The sequence below is a fragment of the Homo sapiens genome, chromosome 10 (assembly GCF_000001405.40).
Source record: "Homo sapiens chromosome 10, GRCh38.p14 Primary Assembly".
Taxonomy (NCBI): Eukaryota; Metazoa; Chordata; class Mammalia; order Primates; family Hominidae; genus Homo; species Homo sapiens.
The window spans coordinates 132752442-132771186 of NC_000010.11; the positions used below are offsets into that span (position 1 = coordinate 132752442).

Here is an 18745-nt window from a genome sequence, read left to right on the forward strand (position 1 = left end):
GGGGGCTGTGGCGTGGAGGGGGGTGTGGCATGGAGAGGGGTGCAGAGTGGAAGGGGTGCAGTGTGGAGGGGCGTGGCGTGGAGGAGGTGTGGCGTGGAGGGGCGTGGCGAGGAGGTGTGGCGTGGAGGGGAGTGGTGAGGAGGTGTGGCATGGAGGGGTGTGGCATGGAGTGGGGTGTGGCATGGAGTGGGGTGTGGCATGGAGGGACACGGGGCGTGGAGGGGCACGGGGCGTGGAGGGGGTGCGGCATGGAGGGGGTGCGGCGTGGAGGCGGTGCGGCATGGAGGGGTGTGTCTAGAGCATCTGGGAGCAATTGTCTTTCATGTGGATCCAAAGTCCTCCTTTTCTCTCAGCATTTTGACACAGAGCACGCCCCTGCTGTCGGTAGCCACCATACCGTACAGTGTTTCCTACCTTTAGAGGAAAATTAATCTGAATATTTGAGAGAACTTTTGGATTTGGTTCTGAATGAAAACACGCTGTGGGGTTGAAGCCACGTGAGGCACCCGGTGTGATTGCGGAGGCCTGGTGCACTGTGTCGATACGTCGGGAGTCCCATGTGGAAAGGCGGCCTGAGCTCAGGAGGCGCCTTCTGAGGCTGTTTCTCATGAGAAGAGCCGATGCCTCGGCGTTCCTGTCCTGCTACTCAGATCCTCTCTGTTTGGGGCCTGGGACGACGGCACCTTCGGGAACGCCCCATGGGTTCCTGCTGACCCGGGTGCCCTCGCACTTGCCCGAGGTGCCGGCATGCCGAGTCAGTTGTGCCCAGAAATTGGCAGTTGTCCCCATCGACGGAGGGTCAAGGTGGTCGGACGGGGAGCCTGGGGAGATAATCCCATCTCCACGGTCCGGTTAAACACACAGCACCGCAGCCATGGAGAGCAAACTCTCCGTCCGCAGGATGGATGTGCCTGCGCCGGTCGCAGCCCCAAGTCCATTGCATCCTTCATCAACCGCCGGTCTTGTACCCGTCTGACAGAAATTTAATTCAGGCTGGCTCCTGAAAATAATTATTGTATTTTAAGAGTAGTAATCATTGGCCGGGACATGATTGAATGTGTCCATGCCTATTGACTTTTTCTATGATTTATAGCTTTGTTTAGTCGATATTCCCATCGAAATTGTATAATTAATTATAAGTGTAGCTGTCAGGGCTGCAGGATGGAGTGCCCTGGTGAGGATTTGGAGAGATTAAATTTTCCTCGGCTGTCCCAGGGCCGGGCTTGGGAGTTTCCGCAGCACCGGCCTCTTGGAGGGAGGTGTTTTCTGTGTGTTTAGCAACCGCTGTAGCCCCAGGTGCATTGATTTTCTGGGCCTCTTTCCTTTATCAGCGCCAGTGTCTCTGCAGGAGTGGCGTGAGCGGCGGCCGGGACAGCTCCTGACAGATGGGCAGGATCAGCCGCTGCCTTGTCATTGTCCACACGGCCCTGCCTGCCTTCACTTTGTAATCAAGAAGAATGTGGGAGACCATGCGAAATTGGTGATCATGTTTGTGAAAAATCTCAGAGAGATACAAATTATCAATTCAACAGCAACGTGCGCAGTTTCTAATCAGAAACCTCTCCTGTCTGGTATTTTGTTCCAGCCGCAGCAGGGGCCCTCACCCACATCATTCCGGGGGCAACAGCCCCCATGCCAGCCATGCAGGGTGAGGCTCCCTCCGACTTCTCAGAACCAGTGGCTGAGCAGGGACATGCCAGGACCCTCCCGCCACACAGGATCCCCCCGCCACCTGGCCGCCATGGTCCCTGCGCAGCCTTGCGTTTGTATCATGGTCGTGTGTACCTCTGCCTGCCCTGTAGGTGGGAAGACCCGTGGGGTAAAGACCGCGTGTTTGGAGTGTCTGGCACAGTGCCGACGTGGGAGCAGCACGGTGAGCCCGTGTCCAATGAGGATGGAGGCAGGCCCAGGCCAGGACACCTCTGTCAGGAGACAGCCTCACGAGTGAGCGATGGGGATTCCCAGCCGGACTGCCCTGGGGTTTTCTCTCAGGCACCAGGCTCAGGGCTGGTCAGTGTGTGGGGGCGAGCACCTATGGGCCTGGGGCATCACAGTGGACAGAGGACAGCCTGGGGCCCTCACCCCTCCACCCCTGGCTCCAGTACCGTTTAAGCAGCTTGAAGGTTCAAGTTCACTTCAAACCACACACGAATTTCCTTTTATTTTTACTTTGCACTGCCAAAACTGGGGGCCTTCTAACTCAGAAGACAGGGTGGGAAAGTGGCCTTGGTCCACTGAGCAGTCCTGAAACACCACCACCCAGGCAGGATGCCGGCCGAGGAATCCCATTCAGTCCCCATGGGAAGGAGGGGGCCCCCAGCCACCGAAAACCTTGGGCAGCCCCAGCCTGCTCCTTCTTCCTGGAGTTTTCCAGCTTCCCCACAACTTGCCTTGGGGTTGTTCCTATTGGAGTGTGTGTCAGCGTGTGTGCGTGGATATGTGTGTGAGCAGGCATATGCATGTGAGCCTGTAGGAGTATGCATGAGTGTGCGTGCATATGCATGTGAATGGGCAAGTGTGTGTATAAGCAGGCATGTGTGCGGACGTGTGTGAGCAGGCATATGCATGTGAGCCTGTGTGAGTATGCGTGTGTGTGATCGTATGCATGTGTGTGATCATATGCGTGTGTGTGATCATATGTGCATATGCATGTGAGCAGGCAAGTGTGTGAGCTGGCGTGTGAGCAGGTGTGTCAGCATGTGTGAGCAAGCATATGCATATGAGCGTGTGTGAGCATGTGTGAGAGCAGGCATATGCACATGAGCGGGTGTGTGCATGTGTGAGCAGGCGTGTACATGCATGAGCAGGTGTGAGCAGGTGTGTGCATGTGAGCCTTCATGAGCGTGTGTGTGAGCGTGTATGCATATGCATTTGAGTGGGCGAGTGTGTGAGCTGTGTGAGCGTGTGTGTGAGCAGACATGCATATGAGTGGGAGTGTGCGTGAGAGCAGGTGTGAGCGAGTGTGTGTGAGCAGGCATATGCATATGAGTGGGTGTGTGCATGAGAGCAGGTGTGAGCGAGTGTGTGTGAGCAGGCATACGCATATGAGTGGGTGTGTGCATGAGAGCAGGTGTGAGCGAGTGTGTGAGCAGGCATATGCATATGAGTGGGTGTGTGCATGAGAGCAGGTGTGAGCGAGTGTGTGTGAGCAGGCATATGCATATGAGTGAGTGGGTGTGTGTGTGTGTGTGAGCAGGCGTGTGCATGCATGAGCGTGAGCAGGTGTGTGCATGTGAGTGGGTGTGTGTGGGGGGTGGTTTGCTTTTTAGTTAGAAAGTTTAGGCAGACCCTAGCGGCAGCCGCTGAGGCCTGAGGGAGGTCCTGGCCACCCAGGAGCAGGTGCTGACCCCAGAGGAGGCTCCAGGGGCCTGACACGGCTCTGCAGGTCTCTCTTGGAGACTGAGGAAGACTGGGGAGTGTTCAGTGGTGACAGTGAAGCCATCCCCTGCAGTCCAGCCATACACGTATCCAGACACAAACGTTTGGCACATGTACCTGGCACACACAGCCCTCAGACATATGTCCAGGCACACCTGTGCACACACCAAACAGTGTGGAGTCGCCTCTGCCTGGGCCCCAGGGAGGCATCCCCAGAGCTGCTCATAGGGACCCCATCATTGGGTGGTCAGATTTGCAGCTCAGAAGTAAAGATGGCAACACACTCAGAATCCGCCTGGCCTGGAATTCCTCGGCCCGGTCAGGAATTGAAGAGAAAAGCAAGTGTGGGGGGGGAGTGTGTGTGTGTACACATATGTGTGTGCGTGTACATGTGTGCACTTTGTGTGGTGTATGTATGCGTGTACATGTGTGCACTCACGTGTGTGGTGTGTACGCATGCGTGTGCATGTGCACTAGTGTGTGTGGTGTATGTGTGTATGCATGTGTGCACTCGTGTGTGGTGTATGCATGTGTGTGTACACGTGTGCACTCGTGTGTGTGTATGTGTGCGTGTACTTGTATGCACTTGTGTGTGTGCGTGTGTGTATACAGTCACGTCACATAATGTCGTTTCAGTCAACAACAGACTACATATGTGACTAAGGTTTGATAATCTGACGATAGGACTGAAAGCTTCCTCTCGCTGTGTGATGTAACTGTTGTGACATCACAGCGTGGCGGCACTGGTGTGAAGGAGCCGCTGCGCCGCCTGCTGTGGGAGAGTCTGGCACACTCAGGGATGCGCAGTGTGTCGTACTTCAGAGCAACAACAAACAACTGTGTTACTGGTGTCTGCGTTTCTTCTCCCACACTTCTTACCATTACTGTAATGCACTCCTTCTACTTAATAAAAAAAGGTACCTGTAAACAGCCTCAGGCAGGTCCTTCAGGCAGGTCCACGGAGAAGAAGGCGCCGTTATCACAGGAGATGAGGCTGCATGCGGGTGGTTGCCCCTGAGGGCCTTTCCGTGGGACGCAGAGGCGGCAGAGAGGAACGTCGATGATCCTGACCCTGTGCGGGCCTAGGCTCATGTCTGTGTCGTTGTCTTCATTGTTATCAAAAAATGTTTTAAGATTTTGAAATATTAAATATAAAGAATAGGCAAAAAGTTTATAGAATATATAAACAATATTTTATACAGCTATACAATGTGTTTTAAGCCAAGTACTATTTGACAAAAGAGTGAAAAAGTTGAAAAATGTTAAAGTTTATAAAGTAAAAAAGTTACAATAAGTTAAGGTTAACTTATTACGAGAAAATACATTTCAGTACATTATGTTACTCTTAGCGTCTCAGCGTTCCGTATTTATAAAGTCTGACATTCTGTTACTCTCAGCGCTGGGCATTTCTAAAGTCTGCAGTGCACAGTTGATCCCAGGCCTTCCCGCTCACCCCCGCCCGCTCACCAGCTCACCCCGAGCCCGTCCCAGCCCTGCCAGCTCCCTTCGCGAGCGGGGCTCCGCAGAGGTGCACGCTTTTTCTTCTTTAGACCTTGTTTTTACTGTTCCCTCTCTACGTTTAGGTATGTTCAGATGCGCAGGTACTTACAGTGTGTTACGCCACCTGCGGTGGTCGGTGGCCTGCTGTGCGGGTCTGCAGCCCTGGAGCCACGGGCCTCCCACTGTACAGCCCAGGCGTGGAGCGTACACGCGCTGTGATGTCCCACAGCGAAATCGCCTAAGGGTGCGTTTCTCAGACCGTATCCCCGTCGTTCCGTGACACGTGACTGTGTGTGTGCAGAACCCTTGCCAAACAGCCTGGAAGGATGACTTGGTGGCTATTGAGGGCTGGACCACAGCGGAGCAGAGAGGCTGGAAAGCCGAGCCCCACAGCCCGGCACCATGGCGTGGGTCCCCGGCCGACCCCACAGGCCAGTGCGATGTCGTGGGTCCCTGGCTGACCCCACAGCCCAGCACCATGGCGTGGGTGCCCGGCCGACCCCACAGGCCAGTGCGATGTCGTGGGTCCCTGGCTGACCCCACAACACAGTGCCGTGGTGTGGGTCCCCGGCTGACCCCACAGGCCAGTGCGATGTCGTGGGTCCTTGGCTGACCCCACAGCCCAGCACCATGGCGTGGGTGCCCGGCCGACCCCACAGGCCAGTGCAATGTTGTGGGTCTCTGGCTGACCCCACAACACAGTGCCGTGGTGTGGGTCCCTGGCTGACCCCACAGGCCAGTGTGATGTCGTGGGTCCTTGGCTGACCCCATAGCCCGGCACCATGGCGTGGGTCCCCGGCCGACCCCACAGGCCAGTGCGATGTTGTGGGTCCCTGGCTGACCCCACACCCATAGCCCGGCACCATGGCGTGGGTCCCCGGCCGACCCCACAGGCCAGTGCGATGTCGTGGGTCCCTGGCTGACCCCACAGCCCGGCACCATGGCGTGGGTCCCCGGCCGACCCCACAGGCCAGTGCGATGTTGTGGGTCCCTGGCTGACCCCACACCCATAGCCCGGCACCATGGCGTGGGTCCCCGGCCGACCCCACAGGCCAGTGCAATGTTGTGGGTCCCTGGCTGACCCCACAACACAGTGCCGTGGTGTGGGTCCTTGGCTGACCCCACAGGCCAGTGCGATGTCGTGGGTCCTTGGCTGACCCCACAGCCCAGCACCATGGCGTGGGTGCCCGGCCGACCCCACAGCCCAGTGCCATGACCTGAGTCCCCAGCTGACCCTATGGGCCAGTGCAATGTCGTTGGGTCCCCAGCTGACCCCATGGGCCAGTGCGATGATGTGGGTCCCCAGCTGACCCGACAGCACAGCACCATGGAATGGGTCCCCAGCTGACCCCAGCTCGGCTGTTTTCCTATTGTCATGGACTGTCTTATCTATGGGCAGGTGCTGAGGAAGGACCCCCAGAGCTGCTGAAAAGCCTTAGACCGTCCTTTGTCTCCTCTCATGAGGAGCACAAGGCTGGGAGCTGCCATCTGTGGATGTGGCCCACGTGGGGTCTCCTGTGGCTGTGGGACTCTCCCACGGTGTCCGGCGGCCCTGTCTCCTGAGCGTCGGGTTTCGTCAGTTGGATTCAGACCCGCGTTCCTCCTGAAAAGGATCGGAAAGCTGGGTTTTTAATTTTTCTGCCATCACGTTTCCCTGTCAATGCAAATCATTGGTTCAGCCAACAGTGATATTGAACTCTGTTTACATTTAGGGCGAGGAGTTGCAGAGACTTTTCTCCCCGAAGGCGGAGTTCTGATTTCCAGAGCACTGTGCATGGTATGCTTCTGACTGAGGCCCTGAGTGTGCAGCAGGTCAGCGTGGCCCAGGCCTCAGTGAGGCCATGCCCGTCCACACGCTCAGAGCCCCCAGGGACCAACAGTGTCCTTAGGGGGACAGGAAGTCCCCAGGCCCCTCAGTGCCAGCTTGGATGCACCAGGGAAGACCCCCGGGGTAGTGAGGGGTCCTCAGAATCCTGATCTGGGCAAAGGTCTCTCCACCCACGAGTGTACAGAGGAGGGTCGGGGATCTTATCCCCTGAGGCGCCTCATGCCAGACAGAAGCTGTGGCCACACTCCGTGGCTTCTGCCTCAGGAACTTGCAAAGGGTGCACAGGCCTGGAATGGTTCAGAAACACCTCAGCCTGGGATTTCCGGCTTCCAGAACCTGCACCAACAGGCGTTAGGGGCTGCCTGGGGCTTCGCTCGCTGCTGTGCTGTGGTAGCCGGAGGGGCCCAGCATCGGAAGTTCCAGTAGGTGGGGCTCCACGTCAGGGTGTGTCCCCAGGCACCCCCATTCCTGCTAACATCGAAGCTCTCGGGAAGGGAGGTGGTGGGGGGCTCTCGGGGGTCCGGCTACAGTGAACAGTCTGTGTTCTATGGCCCGGCGCCCTCCTCACCCTGCAGGAGCCCCGGCCGTAAGCATCAGTGACCCCCTCACCCTGCAGGAGCCCCGGCCCCATGCCCACGCCAGCCCATGGAGGTAGCCCTGGCGTCCTCAGAGCCCCCCGGCCCTGTTCAGAGTCCCCTGGGCCTGTTCTCCCTCTTCTTGTTCACGTGCCCCTTGATGCGCAGTCCCGTGCTCACTGTGCCCGGTGCATTCACCAGGCTGGGGACACTCACTCAGGGCTGCGGCCTCACGACTTCGGTGCTCAGCCACGCAGCACCGTGCTCACAGACCCCACGCCGTGGACCCTGGCGGCCAGAGGCAGGGATGACCCACCCTGGGCGATAGCCACACCGTGCAGGAAGCCCGGTGCTCTGCTCTCTGAAGCTAAACGAATTCATGTCGGCCAAGAGCTCCAGCTACTCGTTCCCTCTGCTCACATGCCCAGCCTCTCTGCAGCACCTGCTGCTTCTAGGAGGTGGAGCAGCCCCAGCAGCCCCAGGCCCTCAAAGGCCTACGTGGTAAGGCACAGCCCGGGCCTGGCTGCAGCCCAGACAGGCACAGGGCCAGCACCGAGGACTGGGGGTGCTGAGGACTTGAGGGGTGCTGGTGGTTGCTGGAGGCAGAGCCAGGGTCGGACGCTGTGCCGCACGCCTGCGAGGGGCGATGGTCCTTCTGGGCTCCAGAGCTCCCTGAGTGCTCCATGAGAGCTGTGGGCCCGCTGTGAGCAGAGCCCTCATTGCAAGAGGCCATCTGTGCCCCTGCACTTTGGTGCTGTCCAGGACTGCGTCCCCCACAGCTGTGAAAGCTCTGGGGTCACTGCAGAAGGTTGGAGGAATGCTGATCCGGGACAACTTCATTAAGGACGTGGCATCGGAGGGCCCCACACAGCAGAGCTGTCATTCTGGCTCACCTGAGCGGGAGCTTTGCTGAGGACTCTCCTTTCCTCTGTGCCCATCTCTGGTACGGGGTGACTGTGGCGCAGCGTGTGCTTCCTCATGACGCCCGGGCCCCTCTCTCCCATGGCCCAGGTCAAGGCAGGAGGACGCTCGGTTTCCCATCTGCACAGCTGGGCCTGTCCTTCCTGGGCGGTCCTTTGTCCACTGTCTTCCTGAGGGGAGTTTGAGGAGAAGCCCCAGGTCTAACTCTGTGGCAGACAGGCCCACCGCCCTGCATCTCGGGACACAGCAGGCAGTGTTTCCACTGTAAACGCGGGGAGAGGGACCCACTTTCAGAGAAAGAATTTGGCATCTGGTGAGAGCATCTCGTTTCCAGGGGGAATTTCAGAAAGAGTTTGCATCCGCATAATATAAATACACACTTGGCAAAAGCAAAACACAAAGCCAGGCTCTTTGGATTCTTAGACTAAAAATGTGCTGGGACCGCCAGGCTTCGTGCCACGTCTGGTTCGACCTCGACTCCCTGGTGTGCTCTGCAGAGGTCATGGCGTCTTCGGGTGCCACATGCCCGTCTCTGGGTGGCACGGGCCCCTGAGACTTCTATGAACTTGCATCTCCAGCTTTTCAAGTTTTACTGGAGTGTCATTGAGGCAGTAACTTGATGTGAGAAAGAAAGCAAATGCCTAGATTGTCTGGAGACCACACGCTGGGAACAGGAAAGGCACTGCAGTGCACTGTGGGGGCATGTGTTCATTTGACAGCACTCTGGGTGCCTGCTCTGAGCCAGGCCCTGCTCTGGGTTAACAAGACAGACAGACACATCCCTGCCATGGAGCTCTGGGGGTGGCAGGGGACAGCATGGTGGGGAGGAGCCTGGGAATAGTGTGCTCAGCAGGTGAGCAGCACCTGTGGGGGAGGAGCCTGGGGGTGCCACGAGGAAGCTTGCTGAGGATGGCATGGCTGGTGGGGGACAGCACGGTGGGGCGGAGCCTGGGGGTGCCATGCGGAGGCTTGCTGAGAAGAGCCATAAACAGTCACCCTGGGTGACTCCAAGCTGTGGGAGGCCAGTGCGGTGCAGGGACCCAGTCGGTCACTTTGGAGGGCAGGTCCACATTCATTGTCACAACTAAAAAAATTCCCAAAAATCAAGACCCACCAAAGACGATCTTACAGTTGCAAACTGTGAACCACGTAAGGACACATTCCACAGATAGCAAGAGTCCAGAAATACAACAAAGGCAGGACAGACCGTCAATAATGCCAAATCATCGAATAATTGATACAAATTATAATATTGTAAATTATTAAAAGCATGACAGAATTAGAAACATAAGTACCACACTATGAAAAAAATCCCAACAGATAAAAAAAAGTAGGACTCATAGAAGTATTATCATTAAAATTAAAAGCTCCAGGGATGAATTAAGTGCCGGAGTAGACACAGCTGGAGAAGGGATTGAGGAATGGGATGGCAGGCCTGGGGAATGGCCCAGAATGCAGCACAGAAACGTGGCAGGATGGGACAGGAGGGTCGGGGCTGGGAGAGGAGGGAAGAGCCCAGCGCTTGCGCAGTGAGGGTCCACGAGGGGCACACTGGAGAGTCAATGGCTGGGCGTTTTCCAGAATTATCCAAGACATAAACCTCAGGAAGCATGGTGAGTCCTGAGCAGGAGGAATGGAAGTAAATCCACACACAGACATGTCAGAGTGAAACAGCGGAACATCAAAGACGAAGAGAATATTTTTGAAGCATTGTGGGAAAAATGTCCTATTACATAAGAATGCAAGTGGCGGCGGGTTTCCAGAACAACCACAAAAATACACACCAGGAGAAGTGGAGGCGTTCAGTCAAAGAGCTGGTGGAAAACCCCACCCACACACTTAGAGTTCTCTCAGCAGCCAAGTCAGCCTTCAGAACACTGGCCACCATAAAGACAGTACCTGGCGATGGAGAGACACAGCCCCACCAGCAGGTCCCACAGAGAACCAGGAGTAGCTGAGCTTCTGGAGCAGGGTGGGATGAAGAAGGAAGAAGAACATTTGTGTAAAGCTTAAAAACATGTAGGCTGAGGCGAGCTGCTTTTTGTGGACTCATGCATGGCGGTAATATAGAAACATACTTGGGGCTGGGCACGGTAGAACACTTGGGGAGGCCGAGGCAGGAGGATTGCTTGAGGCCAGTAGTCTCAGACAAGCCAGGGCAATGTGGCAAGACCCCGTCTCTACAAAAAATAAAGACTTAGCAGGAGTGGTGGCACACGCCTGTAATTCCATCTGCTCGGGAGGCTGAGGCAGGAGAATCACTTGAGCCCAGGAGGCAGAGGTTGCAGTGAGCCGAGATCACATCACTGCACTCCAGCCTGGGTGACAGAGGGAGACTCTGTTTCAATAAATAAATAAATAACTTAAAAACCATACTTGGGATTCTTGAAAGGTCTGAGTTACACTGGGAGGAATGAGAGGGTTTGGTGGTGCAGGGGAGATCTGATCCCCTCCTGCCAGTGCCTTCCTGAAATCTCGAAACATGTTGTATCATAGAGATTCAGGGAACCTGCCATCAGCATTTTGGTGAAAGCCACAGGATGGCAGTGGCTCCTTTCTGACTCTCAGCAGATCTCATAGATGCTCCTGGGCAGGCCTTAGGGAAATCTGGGCTCCTAGTCTCATAGCTGGTGCCTGCAGAGCCAAGAACCGCATGGCACCTAGCGCTGGCAGCCTCCCTGCTGCCTCCTCACCTCCACACCTGAGAAGCCAGCAGGGCCCACGCTGGACTGGGGACGCTGCTGCATCTCTGATGTGGGGAAGCCTCAAACTCAAGCTCCAGAATGACCTAGAGATGATGCGTGTTTATAGGCCTGTGTGTGAATGTATCTGAGTAAATGCCTGCATGCAAAGACACACATGCCTGCATACACATAAACACGTGCCTGCATGCACACACACATAAACATGTGCCTGCATGCAAACACACACATGCCTGTGCACACATAAACATGCCTGCATGCAAACACACACATGCCTGTGCACACATAAACATGCCTGCATGCACACACACATGCCTGTGCACACATAAACACGTGCCTGCATGCAAACACACACATGCCTGTGTATGCATAAACATGTGCCTGCATGCACACACATGCCTGCATACAAACACACATGCCGTTGCACACATAAACACATGCCTGCATGCAAACACACATGCCTGTACACGCATAAACACATCTGCATGCAAACACACACATGCCTGTGCATGCATAAACGTGCCTGCATGCAAACACATGCCTGTGTACACATAAACACGCATGTGCAGAATTGCTCCAGAGCCCATGCCCCTACTCTGCCTTTGAGGAGGGGCATCCGTCTCCCGAGGCCTCCGCTGCATCCCCACCCCATTTAGGAGCTGACTTGGGGCCCTTCCCAGAGGCTGTGGGTGCTGGAGGGAGGGAGTTGCTCCCTGGAAGGGGAACTGGAGCTGTACCCTCTTAGGAGGCAGGAGGCAGTGGGGCTGTGAACGCCTGTGCTCCAGGCAGGAGGCCTGGGCCGGTGGCTCAGGTAGCAGCCTGGCACAGGGTAATGACTGTGTGCATGAGGCTGCTGATTGCCCATTTCAGGGATAATGGACGAGGTCACAGGAAGAGCTGGGATATGGTGTGGTTTTGAGGGAGCTCTAGCTCAATGCCATGCCCTGCACAGCTGTGGGGCCATGACTAATGAATAGCACCAGAGAGGGTGTGCATGGTGACCGCACAGGAACATGGCCGGGCCAGTCCTGCAGGGTTGAGAGGGTGTGTGTGGTGACACTCAGGAACACGGTCGGGTCAGTCCTGCTGCGGTGGGAGGGTGTGCGTGGTGACACTCAGAAACACGGTCGGGTCAGTCCTGCAGGGGTGGGAGGGTGTGTGTGGTGACACTCAGGAACACGGTCGGGCCAGTCCTGCAGGGGTGGGAGGGTGTGCATGGTGACAGGAACACGGCCGGGCCAGTCCTGCAGGGGTGGGAGGGTGTGCGTGGTTACACTCAGGAACACGGGCCAGTCCTGCAGGGGTGGGAGGGTGTGCGTGGTGACACTCAGAAACACGGCCGGGTCAGTCCTGCTGTGGTGGGAGGGTGTGTGTGGTGACACTCAGGAACACGGTCGGGCCAGTCCTGCTGCGGTGGGAGGGTGTGCGTGGTGACACTCAGAAACACGGTCGGGCCAGTCCTGCAGGGTTGAGAGGGTGTGTGTGGTGACACTCAGAAACACGGCCGGGTCAGTCCTGCTGTGGTGGGAGGGTGTGCGTGGTGACACTCAGGAACACGGTCGGGCCAGTCCTGCAGGGGTGGGAGGGTGTGCGTGGTGACACTCAGGAACACGGTCGGGTCAGTCCTGCTGCGGTGGGAGGGTGTGCGTGGTGACACTCAGGAACACGGCCGGGCCAGTCCTGCAGGGGTGGGAGGGTGTGCGTGGTGACACTCAGAAACACGACCGGGTCAGTCCTGCTGCGGTGGGAGGGTGTGCGTGGTGACACTCAGGAACATGGTCGGGCCAGTCCTGCAGGGGTGGGAGGGTGTGTGTGGTGACCGCTCAGAAACACGGTGGGCCAGTCCTGCAGGTGTGGGAGGTGATGCCCGCCTGGGGCTTGTTTTGGAAGAGTCTCAGGGGGCAAGGCCATTTGCTGCCTCCCGTGCATGTGAGAATGAACATTTTGCCCCCGAACTGCTGCCAGAATCTCACCAGTGTGCACCTTGGGGCCATTTTCCCTGACCTGTTCTCACAAAGCTGACATTGCTCACTCTGCAGGTTACTTGACACTCTGGGCAGGACAGGAGCTGTGTTCCCTCTGCTGGGGGAGCCAGCACTAGGGAGGAGAGGCCGAGAGGGGCTGCTACTGGGGCTGCCACGGCAGTGCCCGAGGCCATGAGTGCTTCTCTGGCGTCACCAACAGAGAAAGCTTTATGGGTGGGCAGAGCACATCTATAACGGGCAGGGCAGGTCCCACTGTCTGCAGCAGAGGCAGGCGAACACCAGAGCCTGCTGGCACCACAGAGCTTTCTGGTGACAGATGTGGCGGCTCTGGGAAGAGCAGATGTCACACCGAGCATTTGAGCGTCCCAGCTGCACACAGACACACGTGCCCCCAGCGAGGAAAACCAATGTGACTTTATTTTCTGCTCTTTCTTTTCTTTAGCTCTTGGAGTTTGACAAGGAGTTGTCTGTCTTTAAGGACAGACTGTATGAACTGGACATCTCGTTCCCTCCCAGGTATGGAACATGCTGTTTGCTGGATGAACCCGGCCGGGAAGGTGGCGTCTCCACCCTCCCAGTCTCTGGTGCATCTGCGTGTCTGTGTGTGCCAGTTTGTGCTGGGCATGAGTGTGTGCATTCTGTGTGCATCCAGAGTGTGTGTACCATACCTGTGTGTACACGTGTGTGTTGTGCATCTGTGTGCACAGGTGCGTCTGTGTGTGAACGTATGCGTCTGTGTGTGTGCACATGTGCACGAGTGTGTGTGCACGAGTGCATCTGTGTGTGCACCTGTGCATCTGTGTGTGCACGTGTGCATCTGTGTGTGCACGTGTGTGTTCTTGTGTGCATAGTGTTTTTGTGTGTGCACATGTATCTGTGTGTCCTGCACTTGTGTGCAAACTGCACCTTCTCCTGCCCTTTTCATGACATGAAAAAAGCAGCTGAGAGTAATAAGTAATTCTGTTATCTTTTTCCAAAAAAGGTTTTTTCCAATATGCAAAATACTTTCTTATCAGACTTGCTCACGAGGGACCTACGGGGACTGTGTGTTATGGATCTTTCTGGCAATATCGGGGCCTCCAAATGCAGTGTGTCTATGTGGGTGTGGATGTGTTTAAGGCATGCGTGTGTGTGCCTGGGTTTGAATGTGCAGATGTTGCGTGGGTGTCCGTGTGTGTGCAGACCTGGTGCAGATGTGCGTGGGGCGTGCGTCACACAGTTGTGGATGTGTGTGCATAAGGTGTGCTCGCGTACATGGTTGCATATGTGAGCATGAGTGAGAGCATGAGTGAGAACATGTGTGACGTGTGTAGGGCTCATGCATGTGGCTGTGCTCCACGGATGTGTGTGCACATGTGTGTGTGTTCACGCGTGGAGATGTGTGCCTGGGTGTGGATGTTTGTGTGCATTTTTATGCAGATTTGCCAGCACAGAGCAGTTCTCACTGTTGGAAGCCGCAGGGGACTTCCACTGGCAGATGTGGACTTTGCCTGTCAGCTGGGAGCAAGATTGGGAGCTGGAGGTGCGGCCTCAGGGAGCCTGGGTGGGAGCTGGAGGATGCGGCCTCAGGGAGCTTGGGTGGGCTTGGGTGGGAGCCGGAGGTGCGGCCTCAGGGAGCTTGGGTGGGAGTTGGAGGATGTGGCCTCGGAGCTTGGGTGGGAGCTGGAGGATGCGGCCTCGGAGCTTGGGTGGGAGCTGGAGGATGCGGCCTTGGAGCTTGGGTGGGAGACAGAGGATGCGGCCTCAGGGAGCTTGGGTGGGAGCTGGAGGATGCGGCCTCGGAGCTTGGGTGGGAGCTGGAGGATGCGGCCTCAGGGAGCTTGGGTGGGAGCCGGAGGATGCGGCTTCAGGGAGCTTGGGTGGGAGCTGGAGGATGCGGCCTCGGAGCTTGGGTGGGAGCTGGAGGATGCGGCCTCAGGGAGCTTGGGTGGGAGCCGGAGGATGCGGCTTCAGGGAGCTTGGGTGGGAGCTGGAGGATGCGGCCTCGGAGCTTGGGTGGGAGCTGGAGGATGTGTCCTCAGCTTGGGGACACAGGCTTTCCTGAAGCCAGAGGCAGTGCTGAGGTCTGAGCCTTGAAAGTGACGGAGCACTTTGGTGTCCAGGGGAAGTTTTTGGACAGGTTGGAGGAGCCTCCAGAAGGCAGTGGTGGCCCAGGCCTCTCGTCCTCCTCACGAGCTTCTTCCTGTTCTGCAAAGACACCGAGGCTCCCTGCCAGGCATGCCAGCCTTATCCTGTGGGAGGTGCAGGAAGCCTCAGGGGATCTCGGGCTCACACCCCTCTTCCTGGAGGGCTCCCCCATCCCGCTTGGATCTGAAGTCTGACTGCTAGACACACGGGCCCCCAGAGAGCCCCTCGCGCCCAGTGGCATTCCAGAAAGATCCATGGACCCCGACCCTCAGCGTTCCCAGGGTGCCCATGCGCCCAGTGGCATTCCAGAAAGATCCGTGGACCCCGACCCTCTGCATTCCCAGGGTGCCCACGCGCCCAGTGGCATTCCAGAAAGATCCGTGGACCCCAACCCTCAGCGTTCCCAGGGTGCCCACGCACCCAATGGCATTCCAGAAAGATCCATGGACCCCAACCCTCGGCATTCCCAGGGTGCCCACGCGCCCAGTGGCATTCCAGAAAGATCCATGGATCCCTGACCCTCAGTGTTCCCAGGGTGCCCACGTGCCCAGTGGCATTTCAGAAAGATCCGTGGACCCTGACCCTCAGCGTTCCCAGGGTGCCCACGCACCCAATGGCATTCCAGAAAGATCCATGGACCCCAACCCTCGGCATTCCCAGGGTGCCCACGTGCCCATTGGCATTCCAGAAAGATCCATGGATCCCTGACCCTCAGCGTTCCCAGGGTGCCCATGTGCCCAGTGGCATTCCAGAAAGATCTGTGGACCCCGACCCTCAGCGTTCCCAGGGTGCCCACGCGCCCAGTGGCATTCCAGAAAGATCCGTGGACCCCGACCCTCAGCGTTCCCAGGGTGCCCACGCGCCCAGTTGCATTCCAGAAAGATCCATGGACCCCGACCCTCAGCGTTCCCAGGTGCTCACGCGCCCAGTGGCATTCCAGAAAGATCCATGGACCCCGACCCTCAGTGTTCCCAGGTGCTCACACAGGCCTGGCTTCCTCTTCGGCATTTGGCTGGGTGAGATCAGCTTCCGCTTTCCCGCTGCGTCTGCCCTGGCGGGGGGTCCCGAGTGCCTCTGCGTGCCAGGCTCGTCCACCTGCCGCCTCACACTCTTCCCCGTGCAGCTCTGCCCCTGTCAGGACACGTTGGCCTTCCTGTGCTTTCCTGAAGGCTGCCAGGGCTCTGAGGCCGTGGGAAGGCGTCCTTGCCACGGCCTGGCCCCTGAGGCCTGTGTCTGACCCAGCTCCTCAGAAGCTGGGAGCCGAGCCGCCATCTGTACCTGCTGGTCTGGCAGCGTCTCCTTCCTGCGGTGACTCCCGGTTTTCAGAATCGTTTCATGGTTTTTGCTGTTGTTGTTTGAGTGAACGCATTGCAAACCGGCCGAGCAGCCAAGTACATCTTCCCATCACTGCCACAGTCCCCGCCCTGGTTTTGGGCAGAGGTGAGCTCACCACCTTGGAGTGGTTCAAGGCACCTTATCAGCATTGGTGGGCAGGACCCTCCCGCGGGCAGTAGACCCTCCATGGGGAGAGCCCGCACCTGCTGACCCTGAGAGGAGACAGCATTCCTAGCGCAGAGCTCCGGATACAGCCGCACCCGGGGCGTTGGTGCGTACACTGGCAGAGTGACGCCAGGAAATGTGTCATTGGCGGATGGTTCTGAAGACCAGCGGGGTCTTCTCCTGCAAAGGTGTTTGCCACTGATCCCATGGATGAATAGAACTCTGCTCTGAATGAATTGTAACTGAATGCTGTCTGTCATTTTGCCAGAAAAGGTGCTAATATTTCAGACATTTATACAACCCTCAATTTTTGTCCTTAACTAAAAGCACGGTTCTTCCTAGCGCCTTCTTTAGGGACAGCCACAAAAGTGACCTGTTTGAGGCGGTCAGGAGCAGGAGAGTGAGCAGGCGGGAAGGAGGCTGGCCAGACCTTGGGCTGCCTCTGCCTCTGCATAAGGAACTCTCCCGGGCGGGACCCTGAGCTGTAAGATGGTGCCTTCAGGCCAGGACAGCACCCAGGATACAGCCTCCCGAAGGCCTTTCATGCCATGTGCTATTTCCATCGGGTGTGACGTGTTAAAGCTCTACACGTGTGCTTAGAGTTACTGGGGGATGAGGGACCCATGGTGGCAGGGATGAGTCTTGCCCACTCTGGTCTCTGGAAACCAGGCGGCTATGAGTGGATGCGGGGTCAGGTGGCGTCAGCCCTTAGTGGTGAGCAGAGGCGGCGATGGGCTTTCTTCACCCAGCATTGGTCTGCCCGGCTCCCCAGACGCCAAGGCCCTCAGGGCAGGATTGTGGTGTGCGCCTCAACAGCAGCCCTGCAGCCCCCACCCCGTAGCTCCCCCCCCCCAAGTTCCTGATACGTGTGGCTCCCGGTACAGCCCAGGCTCAGGTGGCGGCGATTTGGACACCCCAGTGGTAGCATGGAGCTGCTGCCTTTTTGCGCATCCTAGCTAGAAGTGAATTTCTAATTTTTAGTTTAACTTTGAGAATTAACCGCCATTAACTCTAAGATAAAGAGATTTAAGATGGCTCCTCGGTGGCCGCTCCACTGGTGTGACAGCCCGACATTTCTAGGCGTTAGCATTTCTCACGAAACCCCATGTAGAACAGGGCTGGCGAGGGCGGCGCCTCTGGAACCAGAGTCCCACCTCTGCCCTGACACTGCAGAGTTGGGCACATTGCTCACCCCTCGTGGCCTCAGCGTCCCCCTCAGGATGCTATCGTCTCCTCTGGGCAGGCTGAGCCTTCAGGCCCAGGCCTGCCCGACGGTACCCACCCCCAGGTCAGCCTCTCCGCAGCCAGAGAGCCGAACGCTCCCAAGTCACCGCAGTGTCGCCGGCCATCGGGTGGCTCCTGTTGCAGCTTCCGGAATGTGGGGGGCACTGCGTTTCCTCGCGGAGGCCGTGGTGCTGTGCATAGTCAGCCGGGGTTTGGCTCTCCCTCTTTGTCTGTGTGGACGCTGAGCGTATGGAGGATGGGAATTGTCACGTCCATTGCCTGGGGGCTCCCTGTGTCTGTGGACTCCTTACATAGTGAAGAGACTGCATCATTCATTTATTAAGAAGAAAGCCACATGCCACCATCGAAATGGCCCCGCAGAGCCTCGCTGGCCGCCCCGGTGGCCTGGCCACTTCCCTCTTCCAGCTACTGAGGACCCTGGAGCTTTTGTCTATGTGGGTTCCATCTGTTGGTCATGGCCATCAGTTTTTAAATATTTATTAGTCCGTTTTAAAAATAACACAATTACATGTTTACATAAGTAACATTTTTGTGAAAAAAGTACCCATGCACGGGGAGGTCTCCTTCCGCCAGGGCGTGATCTGGGAGCCGCACACACAGGTCCCGGGAAATCCCAGCCACCCAGGGTGTGGGAGTCTCGACGCGGCACGTCTGGCACCCAGTGCGAGCAGCACCTTCCTCAGAATATGGCAGAGCTCAAGGGAGGGGTCTCTGTGGTGGGGACGCCGCCAGCCTCTGGGAGGAATACGTTTTCCAACACCCTCGGGTCTCCTTGAAAGCTTAAATTTTGTCATTGGCAACAAATAGCATCCGCTGCTGCTGGAAGAGGCAGGCTCGTCCGCCCTTCTGGAGAAAATGCCTGTTAGCCACCGAGGTCTAAGTTACCACAGTCTGTCTGTCAATCTTTCTGGCAAAATATGGTGTCCGTGAAAACGAGCAGCTGCTTTAGCTGACGACTCAGATGCAGGCACGCTCCCCTGAGAG

At 57.2% G+C, this 18745-nt stretch overlaps 1 protein-coding gene across 8 annotated transcripts in view; it reads left to right on the plus strand.

The window, feature by feature from the left end:
• The window catches only part of INPP5A (inositol polyphosphate-5-phosphatase A), a 245694-nt gene that overhangs the window by 214655 nt on the left and 12294 nt on the right, over positions 1-18745 (plus strand). For 3 of the 8 annotated variants that reach the window (NM_005539.5, XM_017016204.2, NM_001321042.2), the window contains one exon: positions 13332-13405. In NM_005539.5, the coding sequence (NP_005530.3) occupies positions 13332-13405 (74 nt within the window). Of the gene's footprint in view, positions 1-1802; positions 4307-4961; positions 10576-13331; positions 13406-18745 lie in introns of those variants that run through there. The other 5 variants (XR_945735.2, XR_001747104.2, XR_007061963.1 and 2 more) reach the window with 5 other exon arrangements.